At 40.1% G+C, this 22,749-nt stretch overlaps 1 protein-coding gene across 5 annotated transcripts in view, besides 3 other annotated features; it reads right to left on the reverse strand.

The window, feature by feature from the left end:
* ELAPOR2 (endosome-lysosome associated apoptosis and autophagy regulator family member 2) overlaps positions 1–18,517 on the reverse strand; it is a 182,749-nt gene extending 164,232 nt beyond the window's left edge. For 4 of the 5 annotated variants that reach the window (XM_011515921.2, XM_017011843.2, NM_001142749.3 and 1 more), the window contains exon 1: positions 18,188–18,517. Coding sequence is in view for 4 of the 5 variants with exons in the window: in XM_017011843.2 (XP_016867332.1) it covers positions 18,188–18,376 (189 nt within the window). In the remaining variant the exon portion in view is untranslated. The remainder of the gene's footprint in view (positions 1–18,187) is intronic. The other variant, XM_011515918.3, reaches the window with a different exon arrangement.
* Positions 17,479–17,979: an enhancer, noted in NCBI's record as "H3K4me1 hESC enhancer chr7:86687932-86688432 (GRCh37/hg19 assembly coordinates)". NCBI's record gives its function as "activates a minimal SCP1, AML or CMV promoter by ChIP-STARR-seq in primed H9 embryonic stem cells {active_cell/tissue: H9 hESC(primed)}" and the evidence as "EXISTENCE:reporter gene assay evidence [ECO:0000049][PMID:30033119]".
* Positions 18,245–18,314: a silencer, noted in NCBI's record as "silent region_18341". NCBI's record gives its function as "represses an Ori minimal core promoter by ATAC-STARR-seq in GM12878 lymphoblastoid cells {active_cell/tissue: GM12878}" and the evidence as "EXISTENCE:reporter gene assay evidence [ECO:0000049][PMID:35858748]".
* Positions 18,405–18,794: a silencer, noted in NCBI's record as "silent region_18342". NCBI's record gives its function as "represses an Ori minimal core promoter by ATAC-STARR-seq in GM12878 lymphoblastoid cells {active_cell/tissue: GM12878}" and the evidence as "EXISTENCE:reporter gene assay evidence [ECO:0000049][PMID:35858748]".

Consider the following 22,749-nt stretch of genomic DNA (forward strand, 5'->3'; position numbering starts at 1 on the left):
TGGTGTACCTGAAAGGGATGGGCAGAATGGAACCAAGTTGGAAAACACGTTGCAGGATGTTATCCAGGAGAACTTCCCCAATCTAGCAAGGCAGGCCAACGTTCAGATTCAGGAAATACAGAGAACGCCACAAAGATACTCCTCGAGAAGAGCAACTCCAAGACACATAATTGTCAGATTCACCAAAGTTGAAATGAAGGAAAAAATGTTAAGGGCAGCCAGAGAGAAAGGTCTGGTTACCCTTAAAGGGAAGCCCATCAGACTAACAGCGGATCTCTCGGCATAAACCCTACGAGCCAGAAGAGAGTGGGGGCCAATATTCAACATTCTTAAAGAAAAGAATTTTCAACCCAGAATTTCATATCCAGCCAAACTACTTCATAAGCGAAGGAGAAATAAAATACTTTACAGACAAGCAAATGCTGAGAGATTTTGTAACCACCAGGCCTGCCCTAAAAGAGCTCCTGAAGGAAGCACTAAATATGAAAAGGAACAACTGGTACCAGCCGCTGCAAAATCATGCCAAAATGTAAAGACCATCGAGACTAGGAAGAAACTGCATCAACTAACGAGCAAAATAACCAGCTAACATCATCATGACAGGATCAAATTCACACATAACAATATTAACTTTAAACGTAAATGGACTAAATGCTCTAATTAAAAGACACAGACTGGCAAACTGGATAAAGAGTCAAGACCCATCAGTGTGCTGTATTCAGGAAACCCATCTCACGTGCAGAGACACACATAGGCTCAAAATAAAAGGATGGAGGAAGATCTACCAAGCAAATGGAAGACAAAAATGGCAGGGGTTGCAATCCTAGTCTCTGATAAAACAGACTTTAAACCAACAAAGATCAAAAGAGACAAAGAAGGCCATTACATAATGGTAAAGGGATCAATTCAACAAGAAGAGCTAACTATCCTAAATATATATGCACCCAATACAGGAGCACCAAGATTCATAAAGCAAGTCCTGAGTGACCTACAAAGAGACTTAGACTCCCACACATTAATAATGGGAGACTTTAACACCCCACTGTCAACATTAGACAGATCAATGAGACAGAAAGTCAACAAGGATACCCAGGAATTGAACTCAGCTCTGCACCAAGTGGACCTAATAGACATCTACAGAACTCTCCACCCCAAGTCAACAGAATATACATTTTTTTCAGCACCACACCACACCTATTCCAAAATTGACCACATACTTGGAAGTAAAGCTCTCCTCAGCAAATGTAAAAGAACAGAAATTATAACAAACTATCTCTCAGACCACAGTGCAATCAAACTAGAACTCAGGATGAGAATCTCACTCAAAACCGCTCAACTACATGGAAATTGAACAACCTGCTCCTGAATGACTACTGGGTACATAACGAAATGAAGGCAGAAATAAAGATGTTCTTTGAAACCAACGAGAACAAAGACACAACATACCAGAATCTCTGGGATGCATTCAAAGCAGTGTGTAGAGGGAAATTTACAGCACTAAATGCCCACAAGAGAAAGCAGGAAAGATCCAAAATTGGCACCCTAACATCACAATTAAAACAACTAGAAAAGCAAGAGCAAACACATTGAAAAGCTAGCAGAAGGCAAGAAATAACTAAAATCAGAGCAGAACTGAAGGAAATAGAGACACAAAAAACCCTTCAAAAAATTAATGAATCCAGGAGCTGGTTTTTTGAAAGGATCAACAAAATTGAATGACCACTAGAAAGACTAATAAAGACAAAAAGAGAGAGGAATCAAATAGACGCAATAAAAAATGATAAAGGGGATATCACCACCGATCCCACAGAAATACAAACTACCATCAGTGAATACTACAAACACCTCTACACAAATAAACTAGAAAATCTAGAAGAAATGGATAAATTCCTTGACACATACACTCTCCCAACACTAAACCAGGAAGAAGTTGAATCTCTGAATAGACCAATAACAGGAGCTGAAATTGTGGCAATAATCAATAGCTTACCAACGAAAAAGAGTCCAGGACCAGATGGATTCACAGCCGAATTCTACCAGAGGTACAAGGAGGAACTGGTACCATTCCTTCTGAAACTATTCCAATCAATAGAAAAAGAGGGAATCCTCCCTAACTCATTTTATGAGGCCAGCATCATTCTGATACCAAAGTCAGGCAGAGACACAACAAAAAAAGAGAATTTTAGACCAATATCCTTGATGAACATTGATGCAAAAATCCTCAATAAAATACTGGCAAACCGAATCCAGCAGCACATCAAAAAGCTTATCCACCATGATCAAGTGGGCTTCATTCCTGGGATGCAAGGCTGGTTCAATATACGCAAATCAATAAATATAATCCAGCATATAAACAGAGCCAAAGACAAAAACCACATGATTATCTCAATAGATGCAGAAAAAGCCTTTGACAAAATTCAACAACCCTTCATGCTAAAAACTCTCAATAAATTAGGTATTGATGGGACGTATTTCAAAATAATAAGAGCTATCTATGACAAACCCACAGCCAATATCATACTGAATGGGCAAAAACTGGAAGCATTCCCTTTGAAAACTGGCACAAGACAGGGATGCCCTCTCTCCACTCCTATTCAACATAGTGCTGGAAGTTCTGGCCAGGGCAATCAGGCAGGAGAAGGAAATAAAGGGTATTCAATTAGGAAAAGAGGAAGTCAAATTGTCCCTGTTTGCAGACGACATGACTGTATATCTAGAAAACCCCATTGTCTCAGCCCAAAATCTCCTTAAGCTGATAAGCAACTTCAGCGAAGTCTCAGGATACAAAATCAGTGTACAAAAATCACAAGCATTCTTATACACCAACAACAGACAGAGAGCCAAATCATGAGTGAACTCCCATTCACAATTGCTTCAAAGAGAATAAAATACCTAGGAATCCAACTTACAAGGGATGTGAAGGACCTCTTCAAGGAGAACTACAAACCACTGCTCAAGGAAATAAAAGAGGATACAAACAAATGGAAGAACATTCCATGCTCATGGGTAGGAAGAATCAATATCGTGAAAATGGCCATACTGCCCAAGGCAATTTACAGATTCAATGCCATCCCCATCAAGCTACCAATGACTTTCTTCACAGAATTGGAAAAAACTACTTTAAAGTTCATATGGAACCAAAAAAGAGCCCGCATCGCCAAGTCAATCCTAAGCCAAAAGAACAAAGCTGGAGGCATCACACTACCTGACTTCAAACTATACTACAAGGCTACAGTAACCAAAACAGCATGGTACTGGTACCAAAACAGAGATATAGATCAATGGAACAGAACAGAGCCCTCAGAAATAACGCCGCATATCTACAACTATCTGATCTTTGACAAACCTGAGAAAAACAAGCAATGGGGAAAGGATTCCCTATTTAATAAATGGTGCTGGGAAAACTGGCTAGCCATATGTAGAAAGCTGAAACTGGATCCCTTCCTTACACCTTATACAAAAATCAATTCAAGATGGATTAAAGACTTAAATGTTGGACCTAACACCATAAAAACCCTAGAAGAAAACCTAGGCATTACCATTCAGGACATAGGCACGGGCAAGGACTTCATGTCTAAAACACCAAAAGCAATGGCAACAAAAGCCAAAATTGACAAACGGGATCTAATTAAACTAAACAGCTTCTGCACAGCAAAAGAAACTACCATCAGAGTGAACAGGCAACCTACAAAATGGGAGAAAATTTTCACAACCTACTCATCTGACAAAGGGCTAATATCCAGAATCTACAATGAACTCAAACAAATCTACAAGAAAAAAACAAACAACCCCATCAAAAAGTGGGCGAAGGACATGAACAGACACTTCTCAAAAGAACACATTTATGCAGCCAAAAAACACATGAAAAAATGCTCACCATCACTGGCCATCAGAGAAATGCAAATCAAAACCACAATGAGATACCATCTCACACCAGTTAGAATGGCAATCATTAAAAAGTCAGGAAACAACAGGTGCTGGAGAGGATGTGGAGAAATAGGAACACTTTTACACTGTTGGTGGGACTGTAAACTAGTTCAACCATTGTGGAAGTCAGTGTGGCGATTCCTCAGGGATCTAGAACTAGAAATACCATTTGACCCAGCCATCCCATTACTGGGTATATACCCAAAGGACTATAAATCATGCTGCTATAAAGACACATGCACACGTATGTTTATTGCGGCATTATTGACAATAGCAAAGACTTGGAACCAACCCAAATGCCCAACAATGATAGACTGGATTAAGAAAATGTGGCACATATACACCATGGAATACTATGCAGCCATTAAAAATGATGAGTTCGTGTCCTTTGTAGGGACATGGATGAAATTGGAAATCATCATTCTCAGTAAACTATCGCAAGAACAAAAAACCAAACACCACATATTCTCACTCATAGGTGGGAATTGAACAGTGAGATCACATGGACACAGGAAGGGGAATATCACACTCTGGGGGCTGTTGTGGGGTGGGGGGAGGAGGGAGGGATAGCATTGGGAGATATACCTAATGCTAGATGACGAGTTAGTGGGTGCAGCGCACCAGCATGGCACATGTATACATATGTAACTAACCTGCACAATGTGCACATGTACCCTAAAACTTAAAGTATAATAAAAAATAAATAAATAAAAAATATATATAAAAAAAGGAACATACCTCAACGTAATAAAAGCCATATAAAACAGGTCCACAGCTAGTATCATACCAAATGGGGAAAAACTGAAAGCCTTTCCTCTAAGATCTTGAACACAACAAGAATGCCCACTGTCACCACTGTTATTCACCATAGTACTGGAAATCCTAGATAGAGCAATCAGATAAGAAAAAGAAAAAAAGGGCATCCAAATTGGAATAGAAGAAGTCAAGTTATCCTTGTTTGCAGATGACATATCTTATATTGGAAAAACCTAAAGACTCCACCAAAAAACTATTAGGACTGATAAAAAAAATTCAACAAGGTTGCAGGATACACAAATCAACATACAAAAATCAGTGGCATTTCTATATGTCAACAGTGAACACTCCAAAACAGAAATCAAAAAAAGTAATCTCATTTACAATAGCCATGAATAAAATACCTAGGAATCAACTTAACCAAAGAAGTGAAAAATCTCTATAATGAGAACTATAGAACCCTGATGAGAGAAATTCAAGAGGCCACCAAAAAATGGGAAAATATTCCATGTTTATGAATTGGAAGAATATTGTTTAAATGTCCATACTGCCCAAAGCAATCTACAGATTTAATGCAATCCCTATCAAAGTACCTACGATATTCTTCAAAGAAATAGAAAAACAATACTAAAATTTATATGAAACCACAAAAGACCCCGAATAGCCAAAGATATCTGATACAGTTTGGCTCTGTGTCCCCACTCGAATCTCATTTCAAATTATAATCCCCATGTGTCGACGGAGGGAACTGTAGTCCCCACATGTCAAGGGAGGGAGGTGATTTGATCTTCAGAGCAGTTTCCCCCACCCCATTCTCGTGATAGTGAGTGAATTCTCATGAGATCTGATGATGTCATAAGTCTTTGGAAGTTCCTCCTTCACTCTTCTCTCTCCTGCTGCCTTGTGAAGGTATGTGCTTCCCCTTCACCTTCTGCCATGATTGTTAAGTTTCCTGAGGCCTCTGCAGCCATGTGGAGCTGTGAGTCAATTAAACCTCTTTCCTTTATAAATTACCCAGTCTTGGGCAGTCCTTTATATCAATGTGAAAAGAACTGATACACTATCCTAAGCAGAAAGAACAAAACTGAAGGAATCAAATTACCAGACTTCAAATTATACTACAAAGCTATAGTAACCAAAATAGCATGATACTGTCATAAAAACAGACACATAGACCAATGGGAACAGAATAGAGAATCCAGAAACAAATCCACACACCTAGAGTGAACTCATTTTTGACAAAGGTACCAAGAATATACACTGGGGAAAGGACAGTCTCTTCAATAAATGATGCTGGAAAAACTAGACATCCATATGCACAAGAATAAAACTGACCTTGATCTCCCACTGTATACAAAAATCAAATCAAAATGGATTAAAACTTAAATCGAAGACTTCAAACTAAGAAACTACTAAAGGACAACATTGGGGAAAATCTCCAGGATATTGGTCTGGGCAAAAATTTCTTGAGCAATACCACAGAAGCACAGACAACCAAAGCAAAAATAGACAAATGGGATTACACCTGGTTAAAAAGCTTCTGCATAGCAAAGGAAACAATAAACAAAGTGAAGAGATAACCTACAGAATGGGAGAAAGTATTTGCATCTGACAAGGGATTACTAACCAGAATATATAAGGAGCTCAAACAACTCTGTAGGAAAAAAATCTAATAATCTAGTCAAAAAATGGGCAAAGGATTTCAATAGATATTTCTCAAAAGAAGACATGCATGTGGCAAACAGGCATATGAAAAGGTGCTCAATATCACCAGTCATTAGAGAAATGCAAATCAAAACTACAATATCATCTCACCCCAGTTAAAATGACTATCCAAAAGACAGGCAATAACAAATGCTGGTGAGAATGTAGAGAAAAGGGAGTACTTCTACACTGTTGATGGGAATGTAAATTAGTGCAACCACTGTGGAGAAAAGTATGATGTTTCCTCACAAAACTAAAAATAGAGCTACCACATAAACCAGCAATCCCACTGCTGGTTATGGACTCAAAAGAAAGGAAATCAGTATATCAAAGAGATATCTGCATTGTGACGTTTGTTGCACAACTGTTCACAATAGCTAAGATTTGGAAACAACCTAAGTGTCCATCAACAAATGAATGGATAAAGAAAATGTGGTACGGCTGGGTGCGGTGGCTCATGCCTGTAATCCCAGAACTTTGGGAGGCTGAGGTGGGCGGATCACAAGGTCAAGAGATCAAGACCATCCTGGCCAACGGGGTGAAACCCAATCTCTACTAAAAATACAAAAATTAGCTGGGCATGGTGGTGAGCACCTGTTGTCCCAGCTACTCGGGAAGCTGAGGCAGGAGAATCGCTTGAACCTGGGAGGCGGAGGTTGCAGTGAGCCGAGATTGCACCACTGCACTCCAGCCTGGCGACAGAGTGAGACTTCATCTAGAAAAAAAAAAAAAAGAAAATGTGGTATGTATACCCAATGGAGTACTATTCAGACATAAAAAAAGAATGAGATTCTGTCATTTGCAACAACATGGATAGAACTGGAGGTAATTGTGTTAAGTGAAATAAGCTAGGCACAGAAAGACACACATCACACGTTCTCATTTGTTGATCTAAAAATCAAAACAAGTGAACTCATAGACAGAGAGATTAGAAGAACAGTTACCAGAGTCTGGGAAAGGTAGTGTGGGGGTTGGAGAGGGAGGTGTGGATAATTAATTGGTACAAAAAAATAGAAAAAATAAATAAGTCCTATTATTTGATACCACAACAGTGTGACTATAGCAAATAGTAAGTTAATTGTACATTTTTAAATAACTGAAGGAGTGTAACTTAATTGTAACACAAAGGATAAACGCTTGAGGGGACAGATAACTCATTCTCCATGATGTGATTATTTCACATTGCATGCCTGTATCAAAACAATCTCGTGTACCACATATATATCTACTATGTACCCACAAAAGTTAAAAATTAAAAAATGTTTAAATGTCAATTGTCCCAATGAAATAGCATTTTTACCATCAAATTAGTAATGATCGTAACAGTTTTCAGTGTTGTCCAGAGTATACAGTTTATGTCCTTCAATCTAACTTTTCTGCTACAAGTAATCATCTCAATTAATTAAAAATCCAGACACTGTTTTGCATTGTTTTTGATCATAACAAACATTGATTATAACACTGTTTTGATTATACAACAGAAAATTTAAAACAGCCTATGTGCCCAAAATTAAATTTACACATTCATTCAACAAGCATTTATTGAACATCTACTAAGTGCCAGGCACTCTTCAATGTGCTAGGGATATAGTAGTGTCTTGTTATCTATATGAAGCTTACAATTTATTGAGGGAATGTGAAGTCATACAAACCAAATAAATAATTAAAATATACATTATTATGGATGCTAAAAGGACTATAGAGAAAAACAAAAGCATGAAATGTAGATTGAGAGGAAGGGATTGAAATTTTATTTTATTTATTTATTTTTTTTTGAGACCGAGCCTCGCTCTGTCGCCCAGGCTGGAGTGCAGTGTCCTGATCTCGGCTCACTGCAAGCTCCGCCTCCCGGGTTCACGCCATTCTCCTGCCTCAGCCTCCCGAGCAGCTGGAACCACAGGCTCCCGCCACCATGCCTGGCTAATTTTTTGTATTTTTTTGTAGAGACGGGGTTTCACCGTGTTAGCTAGGATGCTCTCAATCTCCTGACCTCGTGATCCGCCAGCCTCGGCCTCCCAAAGTGCTGGGATTACAGGCGCCTGGCCGGGATTGCAATTTTAAATAGGTAGCCAGGGAAAGCCTTACTGACAAAATGACAATTGAGTAGAAACCTGAAGTGCATGAGGGACAAAGCCAAGTAAATACCTGAATGAAGAGAGTTCCAGGCAGAAAAGATCCAGTACAGAGGCCTTGAGAAAGGAGCATGCATAACACATTCTAGGAAGAACAAGTAGACTGGGACTGGCTGATGCAAAATGAAAAATGGGGACTTCTATGGTTTGAATGTGTCCGTGAAGGTTGATATGTTAGAAACTTTATCCCAAATGTGGTGATGTTGGGAGGTGGGGCCTAATGGGAGGTATTGGTTCATGAGGGCTCCATCCTCATATATGGCTGATGGCATTACTGCAGGAATAGGTTCCTTATAAAATAGAGTTCAGGCTCCCTCTTGCACTTGTTCTCTTTCTCTCTCTTTCTTTCTTGCCCTTGGCCTTTTACCGTGGTACGACATAGCAAGGAGGCCCTCACCTGGATCTTGGACTTTCCTACCTCCTAAACCTGGAGGCAAATAAATTACTGTTCATTATAACTTACCCAATCTATGGTATTCTGTTATAGAAGCACAAAATAAACTAAAAGAGGGAGAGTAATAAGAGGTGACATTAGAGGCTTCATGGAGGTCAGATTAGGTTGGACCTTTGATATAGTTTGGATATTTGTCACCACCCAAATCTCATGTTGAATTTTAATCCCCAATGCTGAAGATGGGGCCTGGTGGGAGGTGTCTGGATCATGGGGGCGGATTGCTCATGGCTTGGTGCTATCTTTGCAATAGTGAGTTCTCAGGAGATCGAGATCTGGTCATCTAAAAATATGTGGTACCTGCCCCTCCACTCACTCTTGCTCCTGCTTTTACCATGTGATGTCCCTGCTCCCCCTTTGCCTTCCACCATGACTGTAAGCTTCTTGAGGCCTCCCTAGAGGCCCAGCATCTGCCAGCACTGTGCTTCCTATAAAGCCTCCAGAACCATGAGTCAATTAAACATCTTTTCTTTATAAAGTACCCAATCTCAGGTACTTTTTTTACAGCAATGCGAGAACGGCCTAATACAGTCTTGTATTAATGAAGCCTTAGAAGGGTGTTGAACAAAAGAATAACAGTTTTAAATTTATATTTTAATGCTATCTCTGAGCTGCACTGTGACATCAAGATGGAAAGTTACAGTGATAGTCCAGGCAAGATACAATGGTAGTATGGCCCAGAAATTACAGGAGAAGTGAGAAGTTCTGATTCAGCTATTGGGAAGAGGATTTGCTGATAGGATGGATGTAGGATGTAGGAGAAAAGACATCAGTGGAGATTGCAGAGTTCTAGATATGAGCAACTAGAAGAAAGGAGTTGCCATTCAATGAAATGGAGAAAACTATACAAGGAGTAGGTTTGGGGAAAATGTCAGGAGTTCAGTTTGGTACCTGTCAGATTTAAGGTACTTATACAAGTGGTGACACCAAGGCTATGCTTGATAGGATTCCAGGGGATGGTCCACAAAGGAAGTGTTAATTTGGGAGCTATCCACATATAGGTGATATTTAAAGCCAAGAGACTCCCGACATCACTAGGAGTGTAAGGATGACAGAAAAGACAGGAGGGCCAAGAATAAATCGCTGGAACATGGCAATGTCAAGATGTCAGGAGAAACTGGCAAAAACTGAGAGAGATTACAATGGATTAAGAGAAAAACCAGGAGAGTTTGGGGTGCTTGAAGCCAAGTAAATTTCAGTGATGACAGAACAATCAACTGGGTACAATGTTTCACAACGTATAACTTTTATAGTTAGAAAAAGTACTCCTATAAAATATTTTTGTAAGTAAACAAATTTACCTACCCATATCCCAGATCTTTCATACTTCAATGCACCTCCTGAGAAACACTATTCTTCACTACATGAGAATAATAACTGATATTGGCGACTGCATTAGAATTTACAAAATGCTTTCAAATGCATTAGCTTGATCTCACAGCAATTCTAACATAGATAAGACAGGTTTTACTCTGTCCATTTTCAGACAAGAAAAGATTTAAAGGGGTTAATTTGTTGAAGGTCACATAAACCAGTGGCAGGGCTCACATTTGCATTAGATTCTTAAATACCTTCAATACTGCTTGTACTATAACAAGACACAACTTTGCAGCTGGACCAAAATGTAAACATCACTCCCCCATAAGTAGCAAACATTGGAAAACATTTACCAAGAAGGCTAACCATACTCTCTTAATATTACCATGTTTTTCTATTTTAATGTCAATCTCAGAAAGAGGTGCTTTATTAATTTCCATATTTGTGTCTTCTATCAGGCTATGATCTCCTGGAGAATGATGACAATATTCTCTGAATCCTGTTTTATCACCAGCATCTTGCATAATTCCTGACATATAAAAGATAATTAAGAAATGCTTGCTGGAGTACTTCATGGTAATGAGAGAATCTCATGGTCCATTTGATGTGATTATTTAAGGAGTTTCTAAGACACCCTGCAGAAGCAGGAAGTAAGCTAGGGTGACAGTTTAGGGAATTTTAGCAATGAAATGGGTCCCTGGATTTCAGGCAACTAAACTGTATTCCTGTGTCGGTCCATTTTCACACTGCTGATAAAGACATACCCAAGGCTGGGCAATTTACAAAAGAAAGGGATTTAATGGACCTATAGTTTCAGTGGCTAGGGAGGCCTCACAATCATTGTGGAAGGTGAAAGGCACATCTCACATGGCGGCAGACAAGAGAAGAGAGATTGTACAGGGAAACTCCCCCTTATGAAACCACTGGATCTCAAGAAACTTATTCACTATCATGAGAACAGCATGTGAAATAACTGCCCCCATGATTCAATTAACTCCCACCAGGTCCCTCCCACAACACATGGGAATTCAAGATGAGATTTGGGTGGGAACACAGGCAAACCATATCAATTCCTTTCTTTATACTGAGCGCAATGGTTCTTGCTGGGCTTCAATCCCAGGGTTTCCATTTTAGTAGGTTGTGCACAGGAACCAAGCACTTATATTTCTAACAACTTCCTAACTAATGTTGACACTGCTAGTCCTAGGAGCTCACTTTGTGGACTACTAACCTAGAGAAAAGAGCTCATAAAAGCAACATTTTGAATAAGGGTAATAAATGTACTTCCAACTCGAGTTGTAAACTGAGTTGAGAATCAACTTCAGTATATTCTGATCACAGGGTTTGTTTTCTTTTGTTTTGTTTTGTTTTGTTTTGTTTTGTTTTGTTTGAGACAGGGTCTTGCTCTGTCACCCAGACTGGAGTGCAGTGGCACAATCACAGCTCCCTGCAGCCTCAACCTCCCAGGTTCAATCAATTCTCCCACCTCAGCATCCCAAGTAGCTGGGACTACAGGCCCATGCCACCATGCCCAGCTGATTTTTTTATTTTTTTGTAGAGACAGGGTCTTGCTATGTTGCCCAGGATGGTCTTAAACTGCTTGGCTCAAGTGATTTACCTACCTCAGCCTTCCAAAGTGTTGGGATTACAGGTGTGGGCCACCTCGCCCAAACTGACCACTAGGGTTTATTTCAGGGTCTTAAATCTGGCACAACCAAGAGGATATGTTGATTAGAATTAAATGTACCATAAAGATCAATTCCTGTTTATAACTGAAAAAGCAGAAACTATTCACTTACTATATTTTTAAGTCAGTGATTAGTGCTCCCAAAGAAAAGGATATATGTCTTACTCATTTTTAAAACCCCCAAAATGCCTTAAATGAAAGATAGTACTGTTTGCTAATAAGATGATACAATCCTTGCCCTCAATGAACATATCATGTACTAGGGGAGAGATAACATTTGTGTATTCAAAGCCTCTGGTAAAACAAATGGTGCCTTTGTGTGATTTAGAAAATAGTGACCCCCTCTGGGCATATGAACTAGAAAAAGGTATCCCTTTTTCCAGGTAAATGCAGACCTGTGCCAGGACATATAGCTAAGCATGCTGAGAAATGGGTGGATTCTTCTTCTTACCCCTTTAGCTGGGTGCCCTTGGAGAGAGCACAACTCATTCATCTATATGGGGTGGGGGGCTGTGCGTGCAAAACACTTGTGGGACAGCATATATGTGTCAGAGAGTAAACAATAGGCTGTGACTAGAATTCAGAGAAGAGAAAAGATCCTTTGTTTTTACTAGTCCAGGAAAGGATAGGATATAGGGATGGATCTAGGTCAGGAGGCTTCCTCTGTGAGAGATGTTCTCTCACCATCACCCACAACCTGCATCCAGCTAACTCCTACTCATCCTTTAGATCTTACCTTAAACATCTTTTCCTGGTAATCCACCTGCTCCCAGCCCCTAACTAGGATGGCTATTCATTCTCACTGCACACGGAAATTTTCCGTCACTGTACTTATGGCAAATGTAATTGCATGATGTGTGGTTTTGTTTTAAACCTACTCCCCTGAGATTACAAAGCTCCATGGAGCAGGGGCCTATGTTTTGTTCATCCATTCATTGTCAATACCTGCTATATAAGTACATGATAAATATATGTATATATACATATTGAATATTGAAATACTACATAGAACACACATGATGAAAGGCAAAAAGGAAAGAGAATAATCTGTGGTTTCTTCAAGAGAAAAGAAAAGCAACCAAAATGTGGCTAGTGTTTTCTGACAATAAAGAATTATTATAAGATGCAAGACTCTGCTGGAGAAGACACTATGATAGGAAAACGTGCCACTCTATACTATGCTCTGCTATTTCCATCCCTTGTGCTAAAATATGACACTTCACAGATCTGTCAACTCTTGGTTTTACATTGTAAATATTGATGGTGTGAATACTTGCTCGCATTTGCCTAAAACATGAGAAATGATTCTAAGCATAAGAACTGGAAATGGAAAATTCACCTCCACAGGCATTAACAGGAAAGATTAGTTACGTTAACTGCTTGAAAACAGAGGCTGAGTCCTAACTCCTTCAATAACAGTGTGACTGTAGAACCTTTGACAGCTTCACCCATAGCCCATGGCCTTCAGGGACTTCCTACAGAAAGGATGTTTCTCAGCTGTGCCCATCAAGTTCTGAAACAAAAAACATGACCATTACAGGTCTTGTGGTTTACATGGATTTTGAAGACCCAGTAGCTTACCAAATCTAGGAAGGCTCTATAACACAATTCCACTCCATCACCACCATCTCACCTCCCAGTTAACACTCAACCCATCTCCACCATCCCATAGGAAACACTCTGGTGCTGAGCACCAGTGACCTAATCACAGAATTCAATCTTCTCTCTTCAGTCATCATCTTATTTGGATTTCATCGGGCAACTGACACACAATGAGCCCTATCTTCTTCAAAGGCTTTTCTTTTTCCCACAACTCCACACTCACATTTCTTCTTTACCAGCCATTGCTACATGTCTCCTTTGTGAACTCCTCGGTTTCTGTCCCCTTTCATGTAGGTAAAACCCAAGTCCTATCTTCAGCACTTTGTTCTCACTCCCTGCATGATCTCAACCAATCCAGTCATTTCAACAATGTCTTCCATTCAAGTTATTCCCAGGTCACCACACCAGCCCACACCATGCCCCTGAGGAACAGGGCCTAATAATACCTAACTGCCTACTCAACAGCTCTACATAAAGTCACTCCTTCCAGACAGAACAAGCTCCTTATCCCATCTTCTTCACATTTCTTCTCAGGGAGGTTAAGAGGCACCATCCTCTAATCAAGTTAGAACATTTCATTCTCTCACCCTCTGCATCCACTCACTGCCAATTCTATCTAAAGCATACTACTCCTCTTTTTGAAGTCCTACTACTGCATCCTATTGCCTACCAAATGAAGACCAGCTTCTTAGTGTGATATAAGGTCCCTTATGATAGGCTCCTGCCTGCCTGTCAGATTCATCTCTCATTAAGCTTCTCATTGCATGCTGTACTTCAGTTAGAACCAATTACAATACAATGCTGTTTCATGTTTCTGCCCTTTTTCAATCTGTGCTCTTCACCTGAAATGTCTTTCCCCCAAACTAGCCTACACTCACATCTGACCCTTGTCTGCTTGGCAAATTCCTACTTATCAATTAAGTCTCATTCACTTCCTCCATAGGGCCTTTTCTGATCCCACCCCCCTCAGTAGATATGATGGCCCATTGCTTCTTTCATGGCTTCAAATCACTTAACTGCAATGTTTGTTTACATATCTGTCTCATCCTTATCCAATTAAATTATATTCTTTAAATTACTAATTTCATATCTGACATTTTGTCTAGCACATGGTATAAACTGAATGTGGAACAAAAACTGTTAGCAAAACTCATCATTCAGTAGTCAGGGAGAACAGCAGAATTGCATTATGCAAGATTTTACAGCAGTGAACTAAGAATCAGCTATTTTGTGATTTAATTTACCAAATGTAAATAATACAGACATAATCCAATTAGTTCTGTTCTTTTTACTCTCATGTACTTTTCTATCTTCTGATACCTTACTGCAACTCTGAATTATCTGTTGGCCTTTATATTTTTTTGCTCTGGCAGCCCCATTAAGTCCTATTATTCACTGAGTCAAAAATGTCATGCCAAGTCTTGGATGGGCCTATCCTAGGAACCTCTGGAGTCTCACTGTAGACTCTTCCCAAAATATCAGGATCTAGCTCTACTAATCTAGCAATAATCAGCCCTCATATTTATATTTCTCCTTTATCTTATATTAATCTCATTTCATCCTCATAATACAAATAATTGGTCATGTTTCATTAATAACATTTTATAAGTGAAACACAGGCCAAGAAACCCAAAGAAGATTTACCTTTTATAAGTTCACCCCATACAAAAACCTGAGGAATTCTATACTTTCTGATGTCCAGGCCTCATTTATTTCCTTTGAATACCATTTTCCAAAGTCACATCCTATTCTTGTGCTTCATCTGCCAGCACTTTGACTTTCCTTTTATTTCTGTCTCCCAAATGATCGCTTCCTGTTTGTGCGTGTGCTTCCACACTGCTGATCTGATCACCAGCTGAACATTCCAACACAATAACTTTTCTCCCCCTTTCGACTTCATAATCCAAAGACTTTGACAAAGGAATATGTATTTTATGAGTTTCACCCCAGAGTCCATTCCTCTGCAAAAATCTAAATGTAACTTTTACCCATAACCTAGTTTTTGAAGGGCCTTTTTTCTGAACTCAGGCAATTATAACTGGATGACTCCCAGGCCAGTTCTCTGCATTTGTCTTCCTTTAGTTGCTTTCCTCTAAAACCAGGCAGGAAAATCAGAGTTTATGTAACTTTGTTAAACATGACTACTTCTACAAAAATATTAATAAATGAGGGTGACACAAACTACTGGGGGGAAATGAGGTTCAAAATGGCCTATAGCTTTTTCTATACTCCTCAACATTCTCTCACATTGAGAGTTGGTTTTAGCTCTCAGCCTGAAAATTCCTCACTTTAACTGCCCTCACTCTGTTCCCCACTGCATAGTCTGTCCTTTGTGGCATTTGCCTCCTTTAATGTTAACAAAAAGTGGAAAATGATAAACGAGCAGGAGTGAACACAGAGTAGTTACTTTAACTGTGTCTTTATTCACAGGCGTTTAGCCCACAATCCCATAACTGTATTCAGAGGAAAGGGCTGAGCTCAAGAGGATACCCTTTCCCCACTCCCAGCACAAACATTCCTTTACCTTCAAAGTCTGAAAATAACTTGCCCTCCCCACTTTCCTCTTAAAAACAATGTCAGAGAAAAACAATGACCAATTCTGTAAATTAGCTCCACTGGTTAGACCAGATATCAAACAGATTCAACCCCTGGGAGGTCACTAGGCCTCTTCTACTTCCAAGAACTTCTAACTCCCATTAGTTCCTCTTACTTGTCAGTCATCAGGAAGAACATAAATGGATCTGTGCATTAACATTTATAAAAACATACAGCCAAAGGCAGGCTCAATAGCGTCCTCCTATATATTTTATTTATTCTCATTTTTCAGAAGGAAAATGTAAATTTCAGATCTCAACGGATGAGTCACATGCAATTTCTAAAGCCAATGCAGTAAGGACCTGTGATCAAGTGAACCCAGCCTTCCTGAACCTTCTGTCATCTCTCTGCCCCTCCTTTCAATCTTTGTTTTAGGTTGCAGACTCTTCTTTCTAGGTATACATGTGTAGGACATGTGTTCATCTAAAAGATTAGTCTAGTTGTAGAGACCAAAGGCATCACTTCTATTGACCCTGACCTTCGCCTACTTCAAGCAGATTTTCATTACTAAGAATCGATGTTATCAGAAGCTTAAGACTTTTCAGTTTAGAAAAATATATTCTGCATATTAGAAGTTGGGGGCTGGAGGATAAAGTTTATCTTGTCACAACTGTTCAATCTGAGATGTCCAAGAAGCAGCTTTCTGTGGAAACCTGGAATAATGGATTATTCCCAGGTGATATGTAAAGTTGTAGAATATAGATTAAGCTCATTATACTAAAAAGCCCTAAAATTAAACACAGCTGTTTGTTGAGCTCTTGCCCTGATTTCCCCAATTACAACATTGCTGTGTGTTCGCACACAAGCCTTTGATCCGATTCTCTTTCATTTCAGTCTGTCCTGGGACCTGTACTGTAGGAGAGAAAGACGAAAATCCATAGATGATGGATGATGTGTAGAACACAGATACTCTGTAATTCAAGTCTCGGTAAAATTCAGAAGTTAGAGCAACATACACAAACAAGAGGGTCTGGCCTTTCTTCCCAGAGGGGCTATTGGCTAACCTATTTTTGCTACATTAATTAAAACGACCCATCGCCCTGATTCCTAACAATCTTCCTAAAAACAGTATCTATTCCATATATCCTCCCAACACAATCAAAGTAGGTCAGAAATGTTGCTTCCTTCCCCTCATTGATTTTCATTAAGAGGATGCACTTTCTGAACACTAAATGGAAAGATAAACACCCAATACAAGAACCAATGACACCCCCTGTAAATTTTTGGCACACTGTCTCGTTCTTCTAAAAGCCAGATAAAAATCTCATCTCCCATAGTTTATCCTTTTTGGCTGTAAAACAACAATGATTACAAGCTATAAAATACACCGCGGCAATACTTCAGCCAGGTGATAAAGCACCTCCCAAAAGAAGCATATTCACTGTCTTTTCTAATTTTCTCCATCATCAACCTGCATCTTCTCTACCAAGTACATACTCCTTTTTTTTCCCCCCCAAATTCAAATCCACATTTTGTCAGAAGGATGCTAAGTGACACCATACATTGGCTTAGCAAACCCACAGGGCCTTAATCAGGAAGCTGAGGGCAGGGGAGTAGGACGAAGGCGTTTGCAGAGACAGGGGAGTGGAGACAGGGGGAGGAGGAGCGGGAAATCCTCTGGTGTCTGTGTCTGGCTCTCTGGAAAAGCTGTGATGAGATGGTTCTTCAAATCCCACTGGTGGGGCTTCCCCAGTCTCCTCCCCTTCCTGAAATCTTTCCCTCGACCCCAGGTCCTCAAACCTGGCTGTCCAAAAAGGACGCCGCAAAGTCCTGCAGAGCCCCCAAAAGACACAAGCGCGGACAGAAAAGCATCCCCCGAGAGACAGCGAAGCCACACACCCTCTCCGGGCCAGCTACCAGGGCGGGCAACTTCACCCCTCGAAGCAAACGAAAGCCCCTGTTCTCCAAGCAAAGGAAAAGGGGATGGCAAACAGAAATAAACAGGAACCGCTCTCAGCCTTCATCTTCCGCGCCCTCCCCCAGCAAACTCCAGGTAGAGGACCAGGTGCTGCTCACCTCCTGGCAAGGAGGAAGCGGGCGGCTGGAGGAGGAGGGCAGGTCCCCAGCCCAGGCCGCCTGGCAGCCGGCGAGCGCCCAGCAGCAAATCCAGGCGGGGCTCCAGGGCGGCGAGCGCCCGCGGCGGGGAGCCTCCGCCGGCCGCCCCCAGCCCCTGCCCCGTACCGGCCCCCGGGCGCGGAACAGCATCTTCGTCCGGCCGCGGTCGGCGGGCCGGCGGCAAGGCAGCCTTCCCGGGGTGCGGCGGCAGCTCCGGCTCCCGGGCCGCGACTGCTGTGCGCTCGTCTCGCCGCTCCGTCACCCGCTGCCCGTCCGCCCGCTGACAGCTCTGCTGCGCTCGCGGCCCGGGCAGCCAGCGCCGATGCTCCCGTCACGCCGGAGGGAGGGACCGCGGGGCGCGGGCGCGGCGCGGGGGCGGGACGCGGGGCGGGGACGCTGGAGCTGGGGAGCAGGTGGCGCGGGCGGGGGCTGCGGCCCAGCCCGGCGGGTCCCCAGGGGCTGCGCGGCGCTCGCCTCGCGCTAGAGGGCGAGAGAGGCTGGGGACCCCGTGGAGTAGCCTGTCTCAGGTCCCCGTGGCCCACTGGGAGGGGCGCTCCCGGGATGAAGCCAGAGTAAATACAGGACATCAGGACATTGTTTTCTGGCGGTGGGTCTTTAAAAAGCTCGCCACTTTCCTCATTGCACACAAACACGCAGATGTGCCCTCGGAACATCCCTTGTAAGGATCCATGCTGGCTAGCGTCAGATCGAATTTCTAGTTAGGGTGTGCATGAAATGGCGGGGAAGAAAGAGGACTGAGGTGTAGACGTGGTGTGTGACTCAGTTTTCTCACCTATTTAATGAAAATAATACCCACCACGTAGGATTATTATGAGGATTAAGTAAGTTGATGTACATAAAGCACTTGGAAGAGTGCCTGGCACACAGTAGGTGACATGTGTTGGTAGTAGTAGCCATAATTATTGCTGCTATTGGTGTTATTTTGTGGAGATGTGTAACATTGGGCATTAAGCCCTGTGTTTTCTGGAGGAAACAGTTTCTCCATCTGTGCGATGATTGAGGTGCTCTTCGTTTTTTCTTTCATTCAAAAACATACTGAACTAGGTGATGGTGAACAAGATGGACATAAGGCCTTCCTCAGTGGCAAGGATCTCAAGATCCCTTCTTGATCTCAGATTCTGTAAATGGGTGAGTTATTGTGTTTTTCAAAAGAAGCATCCAAATTTCTGATTATTGAATATCTGGACAAATCCACGTGGCCCACTCATTATAAGTTGGCCTGTGGCACATTTGTTTGTGGCATTATCTCTAATATCCTTTTAACAAAATTTCCACATGAAAGTCTCTGTATATGTGTGTTTGTGTGTATGTATACACATATAGATTTGTGTATCACACCTATATTCTGATTATAACAATATATGTTATTTGTAAACATTTTGGAAAATATTGAAAAGTATCAGGAAGAATATAAAAATAACTAGAGATCCTACCACCCAGAGATAACATTGTTAATGGTATTAACATGTTGAGGAATTTCCTTGCTTTTTTTTTTTTAACTCTGTGTGTACTGCAAAACTGGAATAATAATTTGTAACCTGCTTTTATTTTTATTCTTAATAACATAAATATTTTCTCAAGTCATTAAAGTCTCCAACAACACAACTTTAATAATTGTAAAATATTTTCTACTCTTTAGATACATGTAATTTACTATTAGATATTAGGCATTGTTTAAGGATTCAGTGTTATTAATAATTCTGGAAAGAATGCCCTTGGAACATAATCTGTGTGCATCTTTAAATATTTTATGATAACTTTCTAGAAGTGAAAACATTGGATCACATGATATGTGTATTTTTAAAGTTTTTGACGAATAGTGTACAAATTCCTTCCAAAAAATTTGTAGCAATTGTTACCAGCAGTTTATGAGTATTTATTTCACATCACCCTAGATTATAATACTTCAGATATTTATCATTTTGGTAGAAGAGACAAAAGCTATTATTTTTAAAATGTATTTTTATCATTGGTGACATCGAGTGATTTTTTATATATATCTACTAGCTATTTGCATTTTTCCTTCTCATGTCAGGGTGTGAGAATTTTTCACTGGCACACTTTAGCCATTTTATTGAAGTTCCATTTTTTATTGATTCGTTAGCAATCTTCATAAGCTTTGTGTATGTTTATCATATATCTTACAAATACTTTTTTGTAGTCTTTTAAATTTACTTCTGATAGCTTTTCTGGCAGAAGCTTGTCATCTTTAGGTATTCAAATGTAGCAACATTTTCTTTTGTGATTTCTTCCTTTTTTATATCTAGAAGTACACGTATCTCTGCAAAATCATACAGATGCCTATGTTTTCTTATTTTGTTATATTTTGTTATTATTTCCTTTTTATATGCTTTATTCTTTAATTCATGTGGAATTTTTAGGAGTCAAATTATGTTATGATTTTTGTCATCTGAGAAAGAACTAACAACATGACTATTAAATTGAAAACAGCTTCTTTCCTTATAAAAATAAGAGTCGTCCAGTCAATGCACTTGGATCAAATGACAATTGTAGATTTTCCAGAGTAGGACAACTTGCCACTTTCAATAAATACTTTTCTCATAGTTGTCCCATCCATAAAAAAGATCTTGACCTTGGATAATTAAAATCAGCATAAAGGCTGACAGAGAAAGGAAATTTCAAGAAGACTCTAAGGTCCTCTTCTACCTGTTATTTTAGGATGTAATAGCAAATTATTCAAAGTTTGTGATTATCTGATCAATAAATTTACTCTTAAAGATAGTTTTATAAAAATATACTTTAATAGAAAATTCATAATGAAATTTTTGCAAGAATGGGTTGAAATAGCTTACAATCACTAGGTAATAATCATTTTTCCACTTTATTTGTGCAGTGTATACCTGAAAATTGAACTGAATTTTGTTAAAAAGTCAACAAAAGCCTTAGCTGTATCAACAAAAGCCATAGCCAAAATGATGCTATATAAATAGATTTATTTTCTTTTTTAACTTAAATCAGATTGTGGTATAAATAACCCCAATTTTTATTTATTTTATTTTTATTTTTATTTTTATTATTATACTTTAAGTTTTAGGGTACATGTGCACAATGTGCAGTTTAGTTACATATGTATACATGTGCCATGCTGGTGTGCTGCACCCACTAACTCGTCATCTAGCATTAGGTATATCTCCCAGTGCTATCCCTCCCCCCTCCCCCCACCCCACAACAGGCCCCAGAGTGTGATGTTCCCCTTCCTGTGTCCATGTGTTCTCATTGTTCAATTCCCACCTATGAGTGAGAATATGCGGTGTTTGGTTTTTTGTTCTTGCAATAGTTTACTGAGAATGATGATTTGCAATTTCATCCATGTCCCTACAAAGGACATGAACTCATCATTTTTTATGGCTGCATAGTATTCCATGGTGTATATGTGCCACATTTTCTTAATCCAGTCTATCATTGTTGGGCATTTGGGTTGGTTCCAAGTCTTTGCTATTGTCAATAATGCCGCAATAAACATACGTGTGCATGTGTCTTTATAGCAGCATGATTTATAGTCCTTTGGGTATATACCCAGTAATGGGATGACTGGGTCAAATGGTATTTCTAGTTCTAGATCCCTGAGGAATCGCCACACTGACTTCCACAATGGTTGAACTAGTTTACAGTCCCACCAACAGTGTAAAAGTGTTCCTATTTCTCCACATCCTCTCCAGCACCTGTTGTTTCCTGACTTTTTAATGATTGCCATTCTAACTGGTGTGAGATGGTATCTCATTGTGGTTTTGATTTGCATTTCTCTGATGGCCAGTGATGGTGAGCATTTTTTCATGTGTTTTTTGGCTGCATAAATGTGTTCTTTTGAGAAGTGTCTGTTCATGTCCTTCGCCCACTTTTTGATGGGGTTGTTTGTTTTTTTCTTGTAAATTTGTTTGAGTTCATTGTAGATTCCGGATATTAGCCCTTTGTCAGATGAGTAGGTTGCAAAAATTTTCTCCCATTTTGTAGGTTGCCTGTTCACTCTGATGGTAGTTTCTTTTGCTGTGCGGAAGCTGTTTAGTTTAATTAGATCCCATTTGTCAATTTTGTCTTTTGTTGCCATTGCTTTTGGTGTTTTAGACATGAAGTCCTTGCCCATGCCTATGTCCTGAATGGTAATGCCTAGGTTTTCTTCTAGGGTTTTTATGGTTTTAGGTCTAATGTTTAAGTCTTTAATCCATCTTGAATTAATTTGTGTATAAGATGTAAGGAAGGGATCCAGTTTCAGCTTTCTACGTATGGCTAGCCAGTTTTCCCAGCACCATTTATTAAATAGGGAATCCTTTTCCCCATTGCTTGTTTTTCTCAGGTTTGTCAAAGATCAGATAGTTGTAGATATGCAGCGTTATTTCTGAGGGCTCTGTTCTGTTCCATTGATCTATATCTGTGTTTTGGTACCAGTACCATGCTGTTTTGGTTACTGTAGCCTTGTAGTATAGTTTGAAGTCAGGTAGCGTGATGCCTCCAGCTTTGTTCTTTTGTCTTAGGATTGACTTGGC

This window comes from Homo sapiens, chromosome 7 (genome assembly GCF_000001405.40).
Source record: "Homo sapiens chromosome 7, GRCh38.p14 Primary Assembly".
NCBI lineage: Eukaryota > Metazoa > Chordata > Mammalia > Primates > Hominidae > Homo > Homo sapiens.